Genomic DNA, 19,706 nt, shown 5'->3' with positions numbered 1-19,706 from the left:
AACACAAAAATTAGTGCGTGTGGTGGCATATGCCTGTAGTCCCTGCTACTCTGGAGGCTGAGGCAGGAGAATTGCTTGAAACTGTGAGGTCGAGGTCACAGTGAGCTGAGATCGCACCACTACACTCCAGCCTGGGCAACAGACCAAGGCTCTGTCTCAATGGAAAAACAGAAAGAAGAAGATGACTTCCATGATCCCGAAATATATGGGGATTTCTCCCCACCAACAAGCAAGCAGTCGGTTCTGAGGCAGACACCAGCTGGGTGCACTCCACTTCAATTCTGACACTCTATCTAGGGATACCGCCAGATCCCAAGGGTTGAGGGCTCAGTCCCCAAGACATCAGTTGCAATTCTAGGCCTCCAGAACTTCTGACGGATCAGCTTGAAGCTGGGGTTTCCATGATCCCTTCTTTGGGTTTGATTAATTTGATAGAATAGCTCACAGAACTCAGGGAAACACTTATGTCTACTGATTTTTTATAAAGGATATTACAAGTAACACAGATGAAGAGATGCGCAGGGCGAGGTAGGTATGGGAGAAGGGGTGAGGACCTTCCATGGCCTCTCCCCATGTGCCACTTTGTGTGTATTCAGCTATCCAGAAGCTCTCTGAAACCTCTCCTCTTGGGTTTTTGTGTGTGTGTTATTTTTGTTTTTTTTTTGAGACCGAGTCTTCCTCTGTTGCCCAGGCTGGAGTGCAGTGGCATGATCTTGGCTCACTGCAACCTCCACCTCCCGGATTCAAGTGATTCTCCTGACTCAGCCTCTTGAGTAGCTGGGACTACAGGTGCCCGCCACCACGCCCGGCTAATTTTTTGTATTTTTAGTAGAGATGGGGTTTCACGGTGTTAGCCAGGATGGTCTCGATCTCCTGACCTTGTGATCCGCCCACCTTGGCCTCCCAAAGTGTTGGGATTACAGGCGTGAGCCACCGCGCCCGGCCAATTTTTGTATTTTTAGTAGAGATGGGATTTCACCCTGTTGGCCAGGCTGGTCTCAATCTCCTGACGTCAAGTGATCCGCCAGCCTTGGCCTCCCAAAGTGCTGGGATTACAGGCATGAGCCACCACGTCCGGCTCTTGGGTTTTTATAGAGGCTTTATTAGGAAGGCATGATTGATTAAGCATTGATCATTGACCCTCTGCCCTACTGAGAAGTTGAGGGTGGGGCTGAAAGTCTCAACTCCCATTATGTCTTTGTCTTTCCAGTGACCAGCCCTATTCTGAAGCTGTTAGTCACATTAGCATACAAAAAGGCAGGAGTCTGGAGATTCCCAAGACTTTAGGAGTTGCAGGCCAGGAAATGGGATGAATACCAGATATGTATTTCACAACATCACACAGACAAATAAACAAAAAACACTCAATGCATTTCAAGCAGAGGAGAATTAAATGTCAGGAATGGGTGCATACAAAACCACTGGAAGAACTGGAAGAGCAAAAACCAGGGAATACCAACGCTATCTTCAGGTCAACCACTGAAGCTCTAGTCTAGTACACAGAAATTCCTGCTGGGGAACTGCAGGACATTCCCATTGGTGGATACAGCTTCCCAGCTACCTCAAGATGGGGTGCTGGTAAGGAAGCATGTCATGTCTGCAGTGGTCCATGCATCTGTCTGCTGCAGTCAGAAAATAAGAAAACAGTTTTTACCTTTGTTCCATTTCCCAATTCTCTCTCTCTCTCTTTTTTTTTTTTTAGGCAGAGTCTTGCTCTATCACCCAGGTTGGAGTGCAGTGGTGCGCTCTCCGCTCACTGCAACCTCTGTTTCCCAGGTTCAAGTGATTCTCATGCCTTAGCCTCCTGAGTAGCTAGGACTACAAGCACGCCCACCAAACTTGGCTAAATTTTTTTTCATATTTGTAGTAGAGATTGAGTTTCGCCATCTTGGCCAAGCTGGTCTTGAACTCCTGTCCTCAAGTGACCTGCCCGCCTCGGCCTCCCAAAGTGCTGGGATTACAGGAGTGAGCCACCGCACCCGGCCCCAATTCTCATATACATATATGTGTGTATATATACATGTTTTTTTTTGGCAGAAGGCAAATAACATCCATCACCACGGAGCCAAAGGGATCTGGGAATTATTGTTCCCTGGCTTCCAGTCCCTCTGATACATAGAAACAACATAGACAGGAATAGGAATAAATGCAGATTACCTCCTCCCTCCAATCCTTCCCCACAACCCCCACCATCTGGCACTGAGGAGATCTCCCAACTTTTATGAAGGTTGTAATTTCAATTCCAAATGGCCGAAAAACTTTTCGGAGACATTCAGCCCAGCCGTCCTAGCTCACCACCCGCCTCCGTCTGCCATACAGACATTTTACCTACTGTTCTTTGTGGTGTATTTTCCTGCCCTCTTTTCCATCTCTACTTTCCTGCCTCTCTGGATAGTCTGTGCCTCCTGGGTACGGAGCCCAGAATCTGTTAAGGGTGATTGGAGGAGGAAACTTAGCAGATAAGCAAGAAAGAGAACAGGTTTTATTTTCCCCTAGTCTAAGTACAAGTAATGTTCTGATTACTTCTGTCCTCTCTTCCCCATATTAGAACAACTGGAATTTTAAAAGTTCATTCTCTTGCTAAAACTGTCATGAGACAGCTGGAGATGGTACATTTACAAAAAATCCAGTTCTAGATGGCTAACTTTCAAAGTAAGACGACAGTGAACAATGTCTATCTTAATATCCTTTGTACTTTTGCTGGGCGCAGTGGCTCACGCCTGTAATGACGGATCACGAGGTCAGGAGATCGAGACCATCCTGCCTAAAACGGTGAAACCCCGTCTCTACTAAAAATAAAAATAAAAAATGGCCGGCCGTGGTGGCACGTGCCTGTAGTCCCAGCTACTCAGGAGCCTGAGGCAGGACAATCGCTTGAACCCGGGAGGTGGAGGTTGCAGTGAGCCAAGATCGCGCCACTGCACTCCAGCCAGGGCGACAGAGCGAGATTCCGTCTCAAAAACAACAACAAAATATCCTTTGTAGTTTTACACACACACGTATATGTATATACAGTACATATATTTAAAAAAACATATACACACACACACACAGTTCTTTTTTTTTTTTTTTTCCTGAGTCTCGTTCTGTGGCCCACGCTGGAGTGCAGTGGTGCGATCACATCTCACTGCAGCCTGAAACTCCCTGACTCAAGCAATCCTCCCACCTCAGCCTCCAGAGTAGCTGGGACTTCAGAAGCACGCAACCACGCCCCACTAATTTTTGTATTTTTTGTAGAGACAGGGTTTCACAATGCTGCCCAAGCTGGTCTCGAACTCCTGGGCTCAAGCTATCCTACCGCGTCGGTTTCCGAAAGTGTTGCGATTACAGGCGTGAGCCATAGCGTTACATGTGGTGGGGGGGAAGAGAGAGAAAGAGAGAGAGTGAGAAGAAGGAGGAGGAGGAGGAGGAGGAGAAAGAAGGAAGAAAGAAAAGAAAAGAAATATAGAGAGGGTGTTCAAATCTACTGTTCAAGTGCTTTCCATGTACATATAATCTCTTTTTAAAATCCCATCCAGCTCTGTTGAGATGAGAAAACTGAAGCTCTGAGAGGTTGAGTAACTTTATCACGCTCCCGCAAAGATAAAAGAACCGCCATCTGCCCATATTAATTTCCCTGAGATGAAATGTGACAGAGAAAGATACCTCAAAATTAAGGAAATGGAGAGCTTCGAGAATCATCTTCCATCTCCGCCGAGTCCCCCAGGAACTTGGCCCGGAGTCTTTGGGCTGTCCCACCTGATCTTGCCCCAGTGCGGCTCCACACCCTGGCGGGCGGCGTACGGAGCGTCCCGGCCCCCGGCACCAGCCAGCGTCGGAGTGGGTAGGACTGGAGATGGCAGCCTCCGGTCCAGGGGAAGCGGGACTCCACGGAAGGGCTGGGAAGAGGGTAGGAAGAGGGGGCGGGGGCGGGAACTGTTCCGCCCCCTCCCCCTCTGTCTACTTTCATTGGCCAAGGGCTTCCTGGCCCCAACCCACCTCCCGCCTCCAGGGCGCCGCTTAAAGTGTGCGGAGCAGGTGCCTTGGGTGGAGCCACAACTTTGCGCGAGTGTCTTGGTTGAGCGCAGCGCCCATTCATTGCCCGCGAGCGTCCATCCATCTGTCCGGCCGACTGTCCAGCGAAAGGGGCTCCAGGCCGGGCGCAGCCGCCACCCGGGGGACCGAGGCCAGGAGAGGGGCCAAGAGCGCGGCTGACCCTTGCGGGCCGGGGCAGGGGACGGTGGCCGCGGCCATGCAGTCCTGTGCCAGGGCGTGGGGGCTGCGCCTGGGCCGCGGGGTCGGGGGCGGCCGCCGCCTGGCTGGGGGATCGGGGCCGTGCTGGGCGCCGCGGAGCCGGGACAGCAGCAGTGGCGGCGGGGACAGCGCCGCGGCTGGGGCCTCGCGCCTCCTGGAGCGCCTTCTGCCCAGACACGACGACTTCGCTCGGAGGCACATCGGCCCTGGGGACAAAGACCAGAGAGAGATGCTGCAGACCTTGGGGCTGGCGGTAAGGACCTCCACCCGGCCCTCCGCGGCCTCCCCTCCGCCCTGCCCGGGCTCTGCCTGCGCGGCCTCCCGGCTCCTACCCTGAGCTCTGCTGCGCTCCGCGTGGTCCCCGCACCCTGGGTCCCGGGCCGTGGCGTGGAAGCAAATTCGTGCCTTTGGTCCTCGTGCCTTCTTACTTCTTAACAGCTTACTTTCTCCTGCACCCAGTCTTCGTGCCTCAAAAGTGTACATTTTTAAACCACCCCCAGCCCAAGTGGCCCTGTGGATGGACCTAAACTTTGCAAGAGGAGGAAGACCCCCTGATTAAGAGTGGGCTTACCGGTTAGCTCCGGTTGCAACTGAAATCCAACCCCGAGTGGCGGAATCTCCACCCCACTTCACGATTTTCTTTCCTCCAAATCATTCTGGCTTGCTCAGAGTTTTCCTTTTCTTTTAAAAAGAACCCTAATTAGGCGATTTCAATGAGGTTCCCACAAGGCTTTGTAGTCGCAAAACACAGAGGTGACTCTTTTAACTCAGAGGCACTTTCCTCTGCCTTGCGTTTTAATTTTAGAGCATTGATGAATTGATCGAGAAGACGGTCCCTGCCAACATCCGTTTGAAAAGACCCTTGAAAATGGAAGACCCTGTTTGTAAGTGGCCGGGAGGGCTCCCTTGGACTTAGATTATTCTGGCCTATTTGTCTTTTGTGGTTCCCTGAAAATCGAGCTCTGGGGTAAGGATTGCTCAGGACTGGGAATGTGTGGATTAAAATAAAACAGTGGCGGGTACCTCCGGAGCCGCGGGAAGGTGGGATATTTGGTTCTCGGAGCAGACAGTTTTGTGTTAGGAGAGAGTCGGTGTTGTGCGGTTCTTGGTCTTTATCCTAGGGCCCCCGCGAGCTTCCCCTGCGTTTTGTAGCAGATTCCCCACTTCCCAGGCACCCTCTCACCGGCCAGGGTGCTCTCATACTTTGGGTTGAGAGGTGTCATTACCTGCGCAGACCCGGATAGACTCAAAGGATCTAGGAATTGCCTAAGGTCGTGCAACTGGGGAAGTGACCAGACATCTCGCCTCCCTCCCCCAGGCTTCTTTAGATCGCAGTATCTTCCAATTGTTTTCTTACCTCACGTCCAAATTTTATTATTTACCAACTGAAAGACAGCAGTACTTTTCGAGTCCGAATGGTTTTTCTTTTCTTTTCTTTTTTTTTTCGTTTTTTTTTTTTTTTTTTTTTGAGACAGAATCTCTGTCGCCCAGGCTGGAGTGCTGTGGCTTGATCTCGGCTCACTGCAACCTCCGCCTCCCTGGTTCAAGCAATTCTCCTGCCTCAGCCTCTTGACTAGCTGGGATTACAGGGGCGCACCACCACACCAGGCTCATTTTTATATTTTTATTAGAGACAGGGTTTCTTCATGTTGGCCAGGCTGGTGTCGAACTCCTGACCTCAGGCAATCCGTCTGCCTCGGCCTCCCAAAATGCTGGGATTACAGGCACGAGTCACTGTGCCCTACCCCGAATGGTTTTTCTAGAAAAACACACAAATAAGATTTACATTTGTTTAAGAAAGGTCAGTTTAGTCATAGACTTTCTTAGAATTTTATTTTAGGTTTAAAATATTTTTAATGGTCCAAGATTGCTTTTCAGGGGTATTTTTATGTGGGTATTTGACTTCCATGGGGTGGGGGGACAATCCATAAGTCAAGGGCACAGGCTGAGCTCTTAAAAAAAATCTCATCTGGTTATCTCACTTTCAATCATGGAGATACTTATCTCTTTTTCTTCTAGAGTCAAATGAAGAGAGAGCAGCTGTTTTATTTTGTTGCTATGATAGAAAGGATCTAGTGTGCAGATGGCAAGCTTTATTTTGTTTGAAGGTGGACATTTGAGGTATGGAGCCTATCTGCTTCAGGTTGGCTGCTCAGGCTATGCTGAGGGCTGCTGCCTTTGTTGGTTTCAAATCTGATGGTCGTTGAAAACCTGCATGTTTTGCTGAATTGAACTAATTGAGATTTAGGGATGGTCGGAGGGAAGCCTTATCTATTTCCATTTTAGAAAATCAGAATCCTGGCTGGGCACGGTGGCAAATGCCTATAATCTCAGCATTTTGGGAGGTCTAGGCAGGTGGATCGCTTGAGGCCAGCAGTTTGAGACCAGTTTGGGCAATATTGCGAGACCCCATCTCTACAAAAAATACAAAAATTAGCCGGGTGTGGTGGTGTGCGCCTGTAATCCCAGCTACTCCGGAGGCTAATGTGGCAGAAACACTTGAGCTGGGCAGTGGAGGTTGCAGCGAGCCAAGATGGCTCCACTGCACTTCCACCTGAGTAACAGAGTGAGACCCTGTCTAAAAAAAAAAGAGAAAGGAAGAAAAGAAAAAATCAGAATCCTAATTCATTTGATGTGTGAAGAGTGAAGAGTTGTGTATCTTTAAAGCAGGGTATTTTAGGTGAATATTTGAACAAGTGAATCCCTTCCTGAGACTTTCAAAGTCAGGGAATGTTTAGGTTAGCTATTTTTATAATATATATACTCTAAAATAAAGTGTTCTTTTCAGAGCATTAGAGCCTGGGAAACATGGCAAAGTTGTGTATCCTTTTTTAGTTTAGTTCTTGGTTCCAGCTGAATAATTTGAACATTAAGGGATTCTGATTCTTCACTGTGGAAGTGGGCTCCTGAAAAGTAATTTGCAACTTGAATATAAACTTAATTTTTTTATTTTTTATTTTTATTTTTGAAATGGATTCTTGTTCTGTTGCCCAGGCTGGAGTGCAGTGGCATGATCTCTACTCACTACAACCTCTGCCTCCCCGGTTCAAGCCATTCTCCTGCCTCAGCCTCCTGAGTAGCTGGGATTACAGACGTGCACCACCATGCCCGGCTAATTTTTTGTATTTTTAGTAGAGATGGGGTTTCTCCATGTTGGCCAGGCTGGTCTTGAACTCCTGACCTCAGGTGATCCACCCACCTTGGCCTCCCAAAATGCTGGGATTACAGGCATGAGCCACCATGCCCATGCCATATAAATTTTAAACCTAGCAGCTTCTGTGACATTTTGAGCTTGTTCCATCTAGTTTGGGATGATTCACGCAGAAAATATTGCACAATCAGAAGTCCCCCCATTCCCTGAAATGGACCAGTTCTCCAACAAAGCTTGTTTCTTGGAATAGTGAGCTGGGGGTGTTGGGAGAGTGGAGGAGGATGCATCTGCAAAGGATGAATTTTGACTCTGAGGTGTGCACGTGTCATGGTGAATGAATATTCTCCAGGTGGGGAGAGCAAATTGGTGCATGTAAGCTCTGGTAGTAGCATTTCCATTTAATAGTGGAGCACCATTACTCAAACTTGGCTTCATGTGAATGCCTGTGTTCTAGTGTAGTCAGAAAGGAATTCTGGATTAAATATTTATTTGCCATGTACAGAGAAAACTGTAGTGAGAGCTAGTTATAGGAGTGTTAAATGTCTTCATTGCAGAGTAAAGATTGTGATCAGTTTGGAAATACTTGGGTTACTTATTACACATAACTCAGTAATCTCAGACATTTATGTAGTGCTTACCATGTACTGGACACTCTTTAACGTGCTTTCATGTATTAATGTATATTACAACCCTATGAGGAAAATACCATTAATACTTCTGTTTTAAAAATGAAGAAACCGTGATATTCAGATGATGCATGACTTGCCCAAGGTCATAGCTGGTAAGTGATGGAGGCAGAATTCAAACCCAGGCAGCCCAGCTCCACTGTCCACACTCCATCCACTACTTTGCTCTCTCTTCATTTTGTCCTTTGCAAGGTCGTGGGTGTACAAAGTGGAAAACTTCTGTCCTGACTCACCTGGAATATCCAGTTTACAGATGTGCACAAACCCAGTTGCACTAGAATCACCCTGCCATATGCCAACTGCCCCAGTGGAAACGCAGCAGCTTCCTGGCAGCACAGACGTGGGAACACTCAAGCCTGCTGCTAGGGCAAGGGAAGGGGTCACGGAAGTGCAATACTGAAGAATGAGCAGTGATGCTCTGCTAGATAAATCTGGGGGAGGCTGCTGGAGGTAGTGGGATTAACATGTATAGGACAGAATGGCCGGACAGAACCAGGGGAGGACGGGTGGTTCATCAGTCACTAAGGATGCTCCCCCTCTTCTTGGACAATTCAGAAAGTGCCTTGACAAAATACTTTGATCATGAACTGGCTGCTAAGTAAGTCATTATTCAGAGAAACAAGCAAAGCTATTCAGTTCAAAATCCTGTCCTGCTCAAGTGAATCCTGCATTCCCCATCCACACGCACTCAACAACAACAAAAGGACTAGAAGGATATGTGTCACTGGCAACACTGATTTCTCTGAATGGTGCCCTTATTAGTGGTTTTAGCTTTCCTTTAATTACTTTGCAGTTTTGGAATTTTCTGCAGTGTAGGTATTCATTTTATAATTAATTCAAAGTTAAAAATTACTTTATGACCAAAGCCAGTTACTTTTAGCTATGGTATGCCTCGCTGTGTAGTCTTTTCAGTGAATTCATCTCAAGGCAACTAGACTGAACTAGACTGAACTAATCATAGATAAACTGCAGGGATTAAAGTTTACACAAAATTGCACATTGCTTGTGGAAGAGAGAGGAGAAACTAAACCCTCCAATGTTCACATTATTCAACTAGAACTGAGGAGATGAGTTGTCAGAATGATGGACTTGTGCCAGCTGAATGTTCCAGAGTGATTTCTACTAAATGGTTAATGGAGGGCAGTGAGCGGAGGGAGGGAGCATTGTGTAATGCAGCTGCAGGTGTTGGCTTTGTCACCCTAGTTGGGTTGCGCACTCTCCTGAACTGACCCCAGGGGCAACTAGGCCGTGGCAGCTGTTCCCCAGGCCGAGGCCACGACTTGTCTTTAGCCAGATGATGCCCATTGCCAGGTCCTGCCTGTAGGCCCCGCAGTCTGTGACAAGGCTTTCCTTTGGCCATTCCCGACTCATTCAATTCCCAGCTTATAGGAATTATTATTTCTTCTTTAGGATGATTCCAATAAATTTCCATTAAATGACTGTAACAGTAAAGATTAGCTAAATGAGAGAAACAAAGGCTGTAATGAGCTTGCTGTAGCAAGGGAGTCAGACTTGCATATTGGCAGAGGAGAGGAAAGCTTTATTGTGGAAAAAAGGGAAGCCTTTAGGTGTGTTCTGATTGGAGGTTGTTTACAAGGGAAGCTGTCTGAGGATTTACTAGAAGTCGGGCAACTGATGTGATTGGTTATGGGTACATGTTTGGCTTAGCCTGGTTGGTCCTATGTTGGAAGTGGGACAAAAATTAGGGAAGCTATCAGTTATTAATCGAGTTCTGGCCATTTGGGGCCAATTGTTAGGGAAGTTGTTGTTCGGTTTCCTGGATTGTCACTAGAGATAGCAATCTGGCTTTCTCTGTAAGTCTAACTTGTAGCAGGCTGGCTTCCTTGATTGTTTATTCTAAGTAAGCGGGTTAGTTTCCTGGACAGGTGTGGGTGAAAGTTCTATTTTTAAATATGGTCTGGTAATTGTCTATTTGTATATGTAGTCCCTCACAGCAGAATCTGTTTTGTCCATATATATATATATATATACTTTTTTTTTATGGTGAAAAGATATATATATATTTAGAATTAGGCAGCTGGACTCAGTTTAGATGATCCCAATTTTGTTGGCAACATCCAAAGCATCATAATCAGGAGCCAGTCGAACATATACCTTCTTCTCTCCATCAGGCCGAATCAGGGTGTTGCCCTTGGCCACATCATTGTCATAGAGCTTCTTCACAGCCTGTTTAATCTGGTGCTTGTTGACTTTAACATCCACAATGAACACAAGTGTGTTGTTGTCTTCCATCTTCTTCATGGCGACTCAGTGGTCAGCGTAAACTTGATGATAGCATAGTGGTCAAGCTTGTTTCTCCTGGGGGCGCTCTTCCGAGGATATTTGGGCTGTCTCTGGAGTCGCAGGGTCTTGGACCGCCGGAAGGTGGGTGATGTGCGGATCTTCTTTTTTTTTGTGGCTGTGGACACCTTTCAACACTGCCTTCTTGGCCTTTAAAGCATTCTCTTTGGCTTCGGCTTTAGGAGGGGCAGGAGCTTCCTTCTTCGCTTTCGGCGCCATCTTGTGAAAAAGCTCTGTTTTTGTCATTAATTCTCAATAGGCAGATTGGACTGTCACCTTGTTGCCTAATTGTTAAATGTTTACTGACTACTATTGAAAGACACTCTGAGGATATACTTTTTTTTTTTTTCTGAGACAGAGTCTCGCTCTGTTGCCCAGGCTAGAGTGCAGTGGCACGGTCTTGGCTCACCACAACCTCTGCCTCCTGGGTTCAAGCGATTCTCCTGCCTGAGCCTCCCGAGTAGCTGAGACTACAGGCACGCACCACCATGCCCAGCTAGTTTTTATATTTTTAGTAGAGACGGGGTTTCACTATGTTGGTCAGGCTGGTCTCAAACTCCTGACCTCGTGATCTGCCTGCCTTGGCCTCCCAAAGTGCTGGGATTATAGGCGGGAGCCACCGTGCCCAGTGAGGATATACATTTGAATAAACATAGTCACTATCTCCAAGGGGCTTACATCTTACCTTCTTAATATAAATAGATCAGACAGACAGTTAAAAAGTTCTAGGTGCCATGAAAGCTGTGGGTAAAATGTCATGAGCGTTCAGAAATGATGTGAAATGGGATGGAAAGACAGAGTTAAGAGTTGGAATATATCTTCTCAATGTAAAGAAGCAAAGATGAAGCTGGGAGCAGTGACTCACGCCCATAATCCCAGCACTTTGGGAGGGCGAGGCGGGTGGATCATCTGAGGTCCGGAGTTCAAGACCAGCCTGACCAACATGGTGAATCCCCGTCTCTACTAAAAATACAGAAATTACCTGGGCGTGGTGGCGCATGCCTGTAATCCCAGCTACTTGGGACGCTGAGGCCGAGGCAGAAGAATCGCTTGAACCCGGAAGGTGGAGGTTGCAGTGAGCTAAGTCGCGCCATTGCACTCCAGCCTGGGCGACAGTGAGACTCTGTCTCAAAAAAAAAAACAACAAACAAACAAACAAAAACTCAAGCAAAGGCAGTACCTTCACTGAGAAAAAGGAAATGGAGAAATGCAATGTGCAAGACATAATTCGGCAAGCACTTGAATGTTGTTGCGGGATCATCCCTGATGGAATCTTAAATAATTATGCTATCAATTATTTGGGGGATATTCAGATAAATGTCGAAGTATATCATGGTAAAAGTGGAGGGGTGAAAATATTTGTTTTAAAAGTGATGAGATTACAGGCTGACACCTGTAATCTCAGCACTTTGGGAGGTTAAGGTGGGTGGATTGCTTGAGCCGAGTAGTTCAAGACCAGCCTGGGCAACATCCTGTCTCTTTGAAAAAAAAAAAGTAAAAAAAAATTTTTAATGTGTTGAGTCCTAAAATAAATTATGATCAGTTTTTCCTTTCTTATTAAAATTAGAATCCCAAACTAGAAATCTCAGTCTTGGCTGGGCACAGTGGCTCATGCCTGTAATCCTAGCACTTTGGGAGGCTGAGGCGGATGGATCACTTGAGGCCAGGAGTTCAGCATCAGCCTGGGCAACGTGGCAAAACCCTGTCTCTACTAAAAATACAAAAATTAGCTGGCTGTGGTGGTGCATGCCTGTTGTCCCAGCTGCTCAGGAGTCTGAGGCAGGAGAATAGCTTGAACCTGGGAGGTGGAGGTTGCAGGGAAGAGAAGGTTGCAGTGAGCTGTGATTGCGCCACTGCACACCAGCCTGGGCGACAGAATGACTTCATCTCAAAAAACAAGACAAAACAAAATTAAAAAACCCTCAATCTTGATAAAGTATCTTTTTTTTTTTTTTGAGAGAAGTCTCGCTCTTATCCCCCAGGTTTGAGTGCAATGGCTCGATCTCAGCTCACTGCAACCTCTGCCTCCGGGGTTCAAATGATTCTCCTGCCTCTGCCTCCCAGGTAGCTGGTATTAAGTCACCTGCCACCACGCCTGTCTAATTTTTGTATATTTTAGTAGAGACGGGGTTTCACCATGTTGGCCAGGCTGGTTTCGAACTCCTGACCTCAAGTGATCCGCCTGCCTCGGCCTTCCAAAGTGCTGGGATTTTCCAAAGTGCTGGCATTACAGGCGTGAGCCATTGTGCCCGGACTTTTTTAAAAAAAAAAACAAACAAAACCAGTTCTGCTCTGTCACCCAGGCTGGAGAGCAATGGCACGATCTCGGCTCACTGCAACCTCCGCCTCCTGGGTTCAAGCAATTCTTCTGCCTCAGCCTCCCGAGTAGCTGGGATTACAGGCACCCACCACCACAGCCAGCTAATTTTTGTATTTTTAGTTGAGATGGGCTTTCACCGTATTGGTCAGGCTGGTCTTGAACTCCTGACCTCAAGTGATCTGCCCGCCTCAGCCTCCCAAAGTGCTGGGATTACAGTCATGAGCCACTGTGCCTGGACTATTTTGGGTTTTTTAATTTTATTTTTGAGATGGGGTCTCACTCTGTTGCCCAGGCTGGAGTGCAGTGGTGTGATTACAGCTTACTGCAGCCTCGACCTCCTGGGTTCAAGTGATCTCGCACTTCAGCCTCCTGAGCAGCTGGGACTACAGGCGCATGCCACCATGCCCGGCTAATTTTTGTATTTTTTCTAGAGACAATCTTACTGTGTTGCCCATGCTGGTCTCGAATTCCTGGGCTCAGGAAGAAATCCTTCCGACTCTGCCTCCCAAAATACTAGGATCATAGGCGTGAGCCACCTTGCCCGACCAACTTTATTTTTTAGAGCAGTTTTAGGTTCATGGCAAAACTGAGTGAAAGCTACAAAGATTTCCCATTAAACCCACTGCCTCCACACAAGCGTAGAGTCTCCCATTATCAGCATTGCCTACCAGAGCATTTGCTACAATTGAACCTACATTAATGCATCATTATCACCCAAAGTGTTTTTTTTTTTTTTGAGACGGAGTCTCACTATGTCACCCAGGCTGGAGTACAGTGGCACGATCTCAGATCACTGCAACCTCCGCCTCCTGGGTTCAAGCGATTCTCCTGCCTCAGCTTCCTGAGTAGGCGAGACTACAGGCATGAACTATCACGCCTGGCTAATTTTTGTATCTTTAGTAGAGACGGGGGTTTCACCATGTTAGCCAGGCTGGTCTTGAACTCCTGACCTCAGATGATCTACCCACCTTGGCCTCCCATAATGCTGGGATTATAGGTGAGCCACTGCGCCTGGCCTCACCCAAAGTGAAGATTGTTTACGTTAGGATTCAGTCTTGGTGTTGCACATTCTAGGGGTTTAGACAACTGTAGTATAACATCTGTTCATTATTATCATTTTTATTTTAAAACATTTTATTTTTATTTTATTTTATTTATTTTATTTGAGACAGTATCTTGCTATGTCACCCAGGCTCGACTACAGTGGAATGATCACAGCTCTGTGCAACCTCGACCTCTCCGGCTCAGGCAGTCCTGTCACCTCAGCCTTCCAAGTAGCTTAGACCACAAGGAGAACCACAGCACCTGGCTAATTTTTTAAATTTTTTTGTAGACATGGGGGTCTCAATATGTTGCCCAGGCTGGTCTCAAGCTTCTGGGCTTAAATGATTCTCTCATTTTGGTCTGCCAACATGCTGGGGTTGTAAGTGTGAGCCACCACACCCAGATCCTATTATTATTATTATTTAGAGACAGGGTCTTGCACTGTCACCCAGACTAGAGTGCAGCGGTATGACTATAACTTACTCTAACCTCAAAACATATTCAGTGCTATCAAACTGAAATCAATTATACTGTATTATAAATATAGTGCTATTCTTGAGGGCTATTATGGTACATAGGACCATTTGCCCATACATAAAGTGCCCTAGACTGCTTAGCTTTTGGTTTTTGGATTGGTGTTTGCTATCACCTTTGTTATCAGTGGGTTATTAAGGTACTATTGCCAAATCTCCTTCTACAGCTTCCTCCATCTGCTTCCATTCTGCACTTATTGAGAGTCAGATGTAGAAGATAAGATACTGCTTCAGGCACTTGGTGTACAAAAGTCAGGAGGTAAAAGATGATAAAGATATCCCCAGCTATAGGTTATAACTTATAAGGAAATAGATATTGAATAGTTTGATGGGTCTGCAAATAGGATGGAGACTTCGTCTGAAGTTATGGCATGAGCAGAGGCATGGAAGTGTGGAAATACGTGGTTATTTGAGGGACGGTGAATAGACCATGTGGTTAGAATGTTAGATTGCAGAGGGACATGAAAAACAAGGTATGGGGCCACAATATGGAGGGCTCAGAGCCAAAAGGGATTTATTTTCCCCCCTCTAAGTAATGGGTAGACAGGAAAAGTTACTATAGAGGGAAGTGGAAGGATTGATCCTGTGTTTTGCAGAGTGCCTCTGAGATCAGAGGAGAGGGAGGGGGAGAAGCGGGAGAGGGAAGGGGAGCCTCCAAACTAATGCAGGTCTAACTTTGGTGGAAGGGGAGAGAAGCAGAATGAAGACTGGGTAGGAAGAGTCTTACAGTACAGAACAGATCTAAGAGAGTTTCCATCAGGCCCACATGGAGTCCTGGAGCTACAGCTGCCCATGGGAGGAGTCTTATATCTCCAGAGAATGAATGAGTCTGCATTAGTTTTCCGGCAGAGCTTAGTCACTGGCTTCGGGCAGCCCAGGAGAAGCATGGCGGGTTTTTTTTTTGTTTTTTGTTTGTTTGTTTGTTTGTTTGTTTGAGACACGGTCTGGTTATGTCACCTAGGCTCAAGTGCGGTGGTGCGATCTCAGTTCACTGCAACCTCTGCCTCCCAGGCTCAAGCGATCCTCCCTCCTCAGCCTCCCTAGTAGCTGGGACTGCTGGCGTGAGCTACCATGCCCGGCTACATTTTGTATTTTTTGTAGAGATGGAGTTTCGCCATGTTGCCCAGGCTGGTCTTGAACTCCGAGCTCAAGCAACCCGCCTGCCTTGGCCTCTCAAAGTGCTGGAATTAGAGGCATGAGACTCATGGTTTTGGGTTTGTTTGTTTTTTTCTTTTTGAGACAGAGTCTTACTCTGTTGCCCAGGCTGGAGTACAGTGGTGCAATCCTGGCTTACCGCAGCCTCCACCTCCCAGATTCAAGATTCTCCCGCCTCTGCCGGGCGCGGTGGCTCACACCTGTAATCCCAGCACTTTGGGAGGCTGAGGCGGGTGGATCACAAGATCAGGAGATCGAGACCATCCTGGCTAACACGGTGAAACCCCGTCTCTACTAAAAATACAAAAAAATTAGCTGGGCCTGGTGGCGGGCGCCTGTAGTCCCAGCTACTCGGGAGGCTGAGGCAGGAGAATGGCGTGAACCCGGGAGGCACAGCTTGCAGTGAGCTGAGATCGTGCCACTGGACTCCAGCCTGAGCGACAGAGTGAGACTCCGTCTCAAAAAAAAAAAAAAAAAAAAAAAAAAGATTCTCCTGCCTCAGCCTCCCAAGTAGCTGGGATTACACGCCTAGCTCATTTTTGTATTTTTAGTAGAGATGGAGTTTTGCTGTGTTGGCCAGGCTGGTCTCGAGCTCCTGACCTCAGGTGATCCACCCTCCTTGGCCTTCCAAGTGCTGGGATTACAGTTGTGAGCCACTGTGCCTGGCCAGAAGCATGGTTTTTGTACAGACGTGGTGGTTGATCCAGAGAGGCAGGAGATGAGGCTGTCAGTCAGTTTCTAGATGGGGTAGTGATGTTGATGTCATTGATTAACAGAGGGGGAACAGGGAGAAGTGGAAGAAGAGATTGGGTCTTGCTTGAGCAGAATTGGGTTTGAGGTATTCGTGGAACATGCATTTGGAAAAGTTGAAGCAAAAGTTGCAAAGTAGAGTCTAGAGATCCAGAGAGAGAAGAGATGGAGTTGCAGATTTAGTGAGTTTTCCGACAAATTCATGAGAATTAGTGAAATTTCCCAGGGATGGAGTGTGGGGAAGAAAGAAAAGCCAGGATATAAGGAAATAAAACATGCAGAAGGAGAGAGGCAGGGCAGTCTGAGATGAAGTCATCAGAGGCAGAAGGATATATTTTCAGGCAGGGAGTTACGGACCCCTGTGTCGTATTCTCGACCTTTCTTAGGCAGAAGAGGGAAGAAAGTCTGCATAAAGACATAAGGATCCTCCGAGGTGGGAGGAGTTGAGGGGCTGCATTTCTGACGATCTCTCTGCATGAGAGACAGGAAGGCTGAGACTGAGTACTAGGGAAAAGTGAATTTCAGAAGAGCTATTGTGTGCATCTGGGTGGCGAGGACCCTTGATCGGTCTGCAGGGAGGGTCTGCTGAGAGCATCTGGGTGGCGAGGACCCTCGATCGGCCTGCAGGGAGGGTCTGCTGAGATTGAATAGCGGGAATTTGTAAGGCCTGTTTGAGTGTCCTCCACCCCACCATCAGTCAGTGACTTGGAAGCAGGAACAGAGAAATGTGGTGACTGAGTTCAGCCGAGGGGAGGACTTCAAGGTCCACTAGTCAGCTCAGTGAGGTTGAGAGAGAGGTGGGGCAGCCCCACCCACATTCTGCCTGCAAGCTCAGTGACCCGCCTCAGGAGGCTGGGAGTGAGGGCCCGGGCTGAACCGGGGCGCGTGCTAGAGAATAGGGACGTGAGTCGCTGTGGGCGAATCTGTGTTGTGACTTCTATTCTTCATGTCCTCTTCCCCACTCCATCAAATAGCACTGTGCCTTGCTTAAACAAGTCTCAGTTATACGATGTACGGATAACTTTGATCTCATTTTGACTCAAGTTTGCTTTACTTTTTGTAAGTCCAGAGTATTCATACAAAAATGCAAACTGAGAATTTTAGTAAGAATTCTCAATGCCTGTATCATCAACATACTAACTGACTGAACAATGAAGAAATAAAATTTTGGGAAGTCTGAAATTATTGTAGACACTGCATTATTTTATACAACTTTCTTAATAGCTGCAGGTTTCCACTGATAAATGTTTCTCTGAGGCTCACACATTTTGGGATGTAGTTGAACCAAATGTGAGAACAATTTATGCATTGATTCATCATCATGAGTCTGTGATGGGTGAGTTCCTGGGCTAGCCATACGTGAAAGTTTAGGTGAATTTTCATTGCAACACATTGATTCACCTGTATTTTCTGAGCATTTACTATAAGAGATTACAATTTACTTGGTGTGATTCTCGGTTGGACTGCAAATTTCTCCATATGACTTTTTTTTGAGGCAGGGTCTCACTGTCACTCAGGTTGGACTGCAGTGGCATGATCATGGCTCACTGCAGCCTCAACCTCCTGGGCCAAACAGATCCTCCCACTACTGCAGCTTCCTGAGTATCTGGACTACAGGCATGTGCTACCACATGGACTAATTTATTTCATTTTGTAGAGACGGGGGTCTTGCTGTGTTGCCTAGGCTGGTCTCAAACTCCTGGGTTCAAAACATCCTCCTCCCTTAGCCTCCCAAATTGCTGGGATTACAGGCATGAGCCACTGTGCCCAGCCCATATGCCTTTGATCTATAAAAAATTATCTTTTTCTCAAGCATGATACACTGTTTGAGTTGGACTCTTAGGACACAGTCTTCCCTTCTTGTTCTTGCTCTGTAGGCCATGACAATGTACCTTTGGGGCAGCAAAGAGGGAAAACAAATCCTCTGGGACCTGCACTGATTCTCATTTCAAACTCAGCATTTGGCCTGAATACATAGGTCAGCTGGTATTCCAGATAAATACTATGAATTGCAATGTTTCTCTGTACATTTCTTAACATTTGTAGATTAAATGAAAAGGGGCCTCCCACAGGAAGGAGTATGATCCAAGTTCAAGGAGTAAAATAACAAGACATATCATCCCTTGTCCCACTCCCCACAGTGAATGTTGTTTTGGTTTTGCTACAGCTGGTAGGGTCTTGAAGCTATGCATCTCTCGGGTGATCAGGAAGAGCTGCAGAGACTGCTCACTCATACGGAGACAAGGGACCAAGGAGTCATCAGAAACATAGATGGGACACGCCTCAGCTCCTTTTGAGTGGAGGTGTCCTGAGGAGAGCGGTAACCCCTGAGGGTCAGGAAGGACTGAATGAGGCGTGGTATTAATTGGCTGAGCAAGAAGACAGGGAAGAGCCTGGCAGGCTTAGAGCAAGGAGACTCAGAGCCCCAGGTTGGGCCTGCGTGCCGCTGCCCTGACCATATCCTTACACGTGGCACAGCTCTGCTGGTCTGCAAGGGTTTTAGGTTCAGTTTCCTCTGTACGCTGTGCAGAGCGTAGCGTATGGATTGGCTTGGCTTTCTCGAACGATTCAACACATTCCGTGATTCAGCTGACTTGGCTAGTGAAACCCTCCTCTGCCCAGGGAGGAAACTTGACAAGTAACAGGGAGTTGGCTCTATGGACTGCGTAAGTGGGCTTGATCCAGGTGGCTATGGGGGAGAGAAAGGAGTGCTATAAATGACTGGGTGATGTTGGGGAAAGGATCAGCATGCAGATGGAATCTGCTTCCAAATTCTGACTTCCCTTCAGAAAGATGAGAAAGTCCTGCCATGCTGTCATTCATGGTCTGTTTATCTTGATTGACACCCCAGCCCCACCCCATGGTTCCCTCTCAGCTTCACAGCTGAGGATTAGGATGTTGGCAAGAACAATCTGCCCAGGCAGTCTCTGTCCTCACATTCTGGCCCCAGCTTTCCCCTTACCCTCTAGCAGAGAAAGGCCTTTCTCAAACTGGTGACATTGGGCAAATTCAAATATGAGTGTGTTGGTTTTCAGTCCTGATGATTTCCTTGGAGACCTTTTCCTAGTGTCTTGCCAAGCACATGGAGGGCGAAGAGTGAGGGAGGCTCTGACGCGGTTAGTGGCTGCTGTGTGTGAGGCGCTGCTGGCTGGGCTCCCCAGAACATGGTCTGTGGATGGCCTACTGATGCCTGGGACTGATGGGATGTACACCCATGTACCCATGTATTTTACAAGGAGGATTTCATTCTACATGCAACATTTTAATTTTATTTATTTATTTTTTTTCTGAGACAGAGTCTCGCTTTGTCACCCAGGCTGGGGTGCAGTGGCACGATCTCGGCTCACTGCAAGCTCCGCCTCCTGGGTTCACACCATTCTCCTGCCTCAGCCTCCCAACATTTTAATTACAAATACACAATATAGGCACATTGTTCAAAACTCAAAAGCACAAAAATATATACAGGGAGACCAGGTGGGGTGGCTCATGCCTGTAATCCCAGCACTTTGGGAGGCTGAGACTGGAAGATTGCT

The 19,706-nt window shown here is 47.2% G+C and overlaps 1 protein-coding gene and 1 pseudogene across 1 annotated transcript in view, besides 16 other annotated features; one reads left to right on the top strand and one right to left on the bottom strand.

The window, feature by feature from the left end:
* Nucleotides 897-1,452: an enhancer, noted in NCBI's record as "OCT4-NANOG-H3K27ac hESC enhancer chr9:6648279-6648834 (GRCh37/hg19 assembly coordinates)". NCBI's record gives its function as "activates a minimal SCP1, AML or CMV promoter by ChIP-STARR-seq in naive H9 embryonic stem cells {active_cell/tissue: H9 hESC(naive)}" and the evidence as "EXISTENCE:reporter gene assay evidence [ECO:0000049][PMID:30033119]".
* Nucleotides 1,453-2,008: an enhancer, noted in NCBI's record as "OCT4-NANOG-H3K27ac hESC enhancer chr9:6647723-6648278 (GRCh37/hg19 assembly coordinates)". NCBI's record gives its function as "activates a minimal SCP1, AML or CMV promoter by ChIP-STARR-seq in primed H9 embryonic stem cells {active_cell/tissue: H9 hESC(primed)}" and the evidence as "EXISTENCE:reporter gene assay evidence [ECO:0000049][PMID:30033119]".
* Nucleotides 2,995-3,094: an enhancer, noted in NCBI's record as "active region_28193". NCBI's record gives its function as "activates an Ori minimal core promoter by ATAC-STARR-seq in GM12878 lymphoblastoid cells {active_cell/tissue: GM12878}" and the evidence as "EXISTENCE:reporter gene assay evidence [ECO:0000049][PMID:35858748]".
* Nucleotides 3,145-3,254: an enhancer, noted in NCBI's record as "active region_28192". NCBI's record gives its function as "activates an Ori minimal core promoter by ATAC-STARR-seq in GM12878 lymphoblastoid cells {active_cell/tissue: GM12878}" and the evidence as "EXISTENCE:reporter gene assay evidence [ECO:0000049][PMID:35858748]".
* Nucleotides 3,925-4,174: a silencer, noted in NCBI's record as "silent region_19769". NCBI's record gives its function as "represses an Ori minimal core promoter by ATAC-STARR-seq in GM12878 lymphoblastoid cells {active_cell/tissue: GM12878}" and the evidence as "EXISTENCE:reporter gene assay evidence [ECO:0000049][PMID:35858748]".
* The window catches only part of GLDC (glycine decarboxylase), a 113,263-nt gene continuing 97,558 nt past the window's right edge, over nt 4,002-19,706 (top strand). The window contains exons 1-2 of the mRNA NM_000170.3: nt 4,002-4,486; nt 5,039-5,117. Coding sequence (NP_000161.2) covers nt 4,232-4,486; nt 5,039-5,117 — 334 coding nt within the window. The 5' untranslated portion in view covers nt 4,002-4,231. The remainder of the gene's footprint in view (nt 4,487-5,038; nt 5,118-19,706) is intronic.
* Nucleotides 4,235-4,792: an enhancer, noted in NCBI's record as "H3K27ac hESC enhancer chr9:6644939-6645496 (GRCh37/hg19 assembly coordinates)". NCBI's record gives its function as "activates a minimal SCP1, AML or CMV promoter by ChIP-STARR-seq in naive H9 embryonic stem cells {active_cell/tissue: H9 hESC(naive)}" and the evidence as "EXISTENCE:reporter gene assay evidence [ECO:0000049][PMID:30033119]".
* Nucleotides 4,245-4,444: a silencer, noted in NCBI's record as "silent region_19768". NCBI's record gives its function as "represses an Ori minimal core promoter by ATAC-STARR-seq in GM12878 lymphoblastoid cells {active_cell/tissue: GM12878}" and the evidence as "EXISTENCE:reporter gene assay evidence [ECO:0000049][PMID:35858748]".
* Nucleotides 4,485-4,554: a silencer, noted in NCBI's record as "silent region_19767". NCBI's record gives its function as "represses an Ori minimal core promoter by ATAC-STARR-seq in GM12878 lymphoblastoid cells {active_cell/tissue: GM12878}" and the evidence as "EXISTENCE:reporter gene assay evidence [ECO:0000049][PMID:35858748]".
* Nucleotides 10,067-10,606, bottom strand: RPL23AP57 (ribosomal protein L23a pseudogene 57; annotated as a pseudogene).
* Nucleotides 13,146-13,646: an enhancer, noted in NCBI's record as "H3K4me1 hESC enhancer chr9:6636085-6636585 (GRCh37/hg19 assembly coordinates)". NCBI's record gives its function as "activates a minimal SCP1, AML or CMV promoter by ChIP-STARR-seq in naive H9 embryonic stem cells {active_cell/tissue: H9 hESC(naive)}" and the evidence as "EXISTENCE:reporter gene assay evidence [ECO:0000049][PMID:30033119]".
* Nucleotides 13,647-14,147: an enhancer, noted in NCBI's record as "H3K4me1 hESC enhancer chr9:6635584-6636084 (GRCh37/hg19 assembly coordinates)". NCBI's record gives its function as "activates a minimal SCP1, AML or CMV promoter by ChIP-STARR-seq in naive H9 embryonic stem cells {active_cell/tissue: H9 hESC(naive)}" and the evidence as "EXISTENCE:reporter gene assay evidence [ECO:0000049][PMID:30033119]".
* Nucleotides 17,185-17,234: an enhancer, noted in NCBI's record as "active region_28191". NCBI's record gives its function as "activates an Ori minimal core promoter by ATAC-STARR-seq in GM12878 lymphoblastoid cells {active_cell/tissue: GM12878}" and the evidence as "EXISTENCE:reporter gene assay evidence [ECO:0000049][PMID:35858748]".
* Nucleotides 18,118-18,960: an enhancer, noted in NCBI's record as "H3K27ac-H3K4me1 hESC enhancer chr9:6630771-6631613 (GRCh37/hg19 assembly coordinates)". NCBI's record gives its function as "activates a minimal SCP1, AML or CMV promoter by ChIP-STARR-seq in primed H9 embryonic stem cells {active_cell/tissue: H9 hESC(primed)}" and the evidence as "EXISTENCE:reporter gene assay evidence [ECO:0000049][PMID:30033119]".
* Nucleotides 18,118-19,041: a biological region, named in NCBI's record as "H3K27ac-H3K4me1 hESC enhancer GRCh37_chr9:6630771-6631613".
* Nucleotides 18,402-18,451: an enhancer, noted in NCBI's record as "active region_28190". NCBI's record gives its function as "activates an Ori minimal core promoter by ATAC-STARR-seq in GM12878 lymphoblastoid cells {active_cell/tissue: GM12878}" and the evidence as "EXISTENCE:reporter gene assay evidence [ECO:0000049][PMID:35858748]".
* Nucleotides 18,482-18,561: an enhancer, noted in NCBI's record as "active region_28189". NCBI's record gives its function as "activates an Ori minimal core promoter by ATAC-STARR-seq in GM12878 lymphoblastoid cells {active_cell/tissue: GM12878}" and the evidence as "EXISTENCE:reporter gene assay evidence [ECO:0000049][PMID:35858748]".
* Nucleotides 18,912-19,041: an enhancer, noted in NCBI's record as "active region_28188". NCBI's record gives its function as "activates an Ori minimal core promoter by ATAC-STARR-seq in GM12878 lymphoblastoid cells {active_cell/tissue: GM12878}" and the evidence as "EXISTENCE:reporter gene assay evidence [ECO:0000049][PMID:35858748]".

This window comes from Homo sapiens, chromosome 9, assembly GCF_000001405.40.
Source record: "Homo sapiens chromosome 9, GRCh38.p14 Primary Assembly".
Classification (NCBI taxonomy): Eukaryota; Metazoa; Chordata; class Mammalia; order Primates; family Hominidae; genus Homo; species Homo sapiens.
This window is presented reverse-complemented; position numbering and strand designations above follow the sequence as displayed.